Source organism: Homo sapiens, chromosome 3 (genome assembly GCF_000001405.40).
Source record: "Homo sapiens chromosome 3, GRCh38.p14 Primary Assembly".
Taxonomy (NCBI): Eukaryota; Metazoa; Chordata; class Mammalia; order Primates; family Hominidae; genus Homo; species Homo sapiens.
Window position 1 is genome coordinate 152,975,344 of NC_000003.12, and position 1,735 is coordinate 152,977,078.

Sequence of the window (1,735 nt, forward strand, 5' to 3'; positions counted from 1 at the left end):
AAAAAATTTAGATACAGGGTCTCACTCTGTCACCCAGGCATGGGTTCAGTGGTGTGATCATAGCTCACTGTAACCTTGAACTCCTGGGCTAAAGTGATCTTCCCAACTCAGTTTCCCAAGTAGCTAGGACTACAGATGCATGCCACCACACCAGATAACTAAAAACAAAACTATTTTTTACACATGGTGTCTCACCATGTTGTCCAGGCTGGTCTTGAACTCCTGGCCTCAAGTGATCCTTTCACCTCAGCTTCCCAAGGCAATGAGATAACAGTCAGGAGCCACCACACTCAGCCCACTTAATCATTTTTGAAACCATTTCTTCCTTAAGGAACAAGCTTCAACAATTTGATTCTTTTGAAAACAAACAATTTGATACTTGGCCTGCCAAGGCTACCACCCAATTTCCCCAAATCTCTCTTTCTATAATTTTCAATCTGACTATAATTATCTCCAAACAATAGGTCTTTGAGGAATTGTTTTTGGGATCATCAAAACAATTTTGACTGTGGCATCGCTTTTTATCATGACTCTATGTCACGCATAAGTATTAATCCATGTAGTCATTTAGCCCAGAAATGGGGATTTAATGCTGACAGTGTTGCATGCTTTCTCTTCTAGAGTTATTATAATGTGAACTTATCATTATTTTATGAAATTATTACGATCATGAAGATTCAGCTTCTGATCTGTGTTCTGGAATTTCTTAGCTGTGTGATTAAGGGCAAGTTTATTTTTCTGAGTAGAAAACCTTCATCTGCAAAACAGAGACAATATTAACTTCACAGAATCCCTTGAGAGTTACTTCATATTTCAGATTTGACTGTGGATGCAAGAGTGTTAAAGGCAGTAAAATGATACATTAATATGTGACTTTCATTGGTCTAAATGTATGCAATAGTCAGAGTGATTTCTAATATGCAGGGCCAGTTGCAAAGCAGAACTCTTTTCTCTTATTTCTAACTTCTAGTGAAAGTTACAAAGCACACTTCTTTTCCCTCTCTTAACCAAATGCCTTCTTGTGGCATTTCTTTAAAAACAAAAAGCTAAGGTGCCTATGGCTGCCGGAAAGAAGATACTGGCATTTTTTAAACTGGTTTTCTTTATCTTTTCCACCCAGAAGGCTAACGAGAAGACTGAGTGCTTATGCTTCATCATGCTTCCATTTCTGCACACTTTAGAATGACTTGCTATCACTTCTGGCTTTGAAAGTCCAAAGCCTACCCTGAAGATCTGACAAAGAAAGAGAACTAGAAATATTCTGAGCTTGTGAATAGACTCCCCCAAGTGTTTTCATTTCTTGGTCATCAAATTGGAAATGATTGGACCAATTCGATGTTTTATTCTCTTTGGCACTTAGCTCTATAGCACAGGGTTCTGGGGACAGTTTCTATTAATAGACTTAGACATTGCATCTAATTTACTTTGCTTGACCTAGCAATTAGTTCTACTTGTCCCCATCCTTTAACCCAAATTTTCATTCTTCAACTGTGACAAGATGGGCAGCAAGAAATAATATGCTATTTTAGGATTCAGCAAAATAGAGCTAACCTAAGAAGTAATTGGATAAGCAGAGTTTGTCTTCCGCCTATTCTTGAATCAGTACAGGGTTTCATGGAGAAAATTGGCCTTCATTCTCTAACGTATGACAGTTGGATAGAAATTTCTGGTATTTAGTCATTTGAGATGTATGTACATTTAGACTTTGAAAGTCTGATTTAAGTTTTAGTAGTTC

At 37.5% G+C, this 1,735-nt stretch overlaps 1 annotated feature.

Annotated features, from left to right (window-relative positions):
- Nucleotides 937-1,349: a transcriptional cis regulatory region, noted in NCBI's record as "candidate enhancer chr3.4520 targeted for multiplex CRISPR interference". NCBI's record gives its function as "positively regulates P2RY1 gene expression with high confidence in K562 cells {active_cell/tissue: K562}" and the evidence as "EXISTENCE:mutant phenotype evidence [ECO:0000015][PMID:30612741]".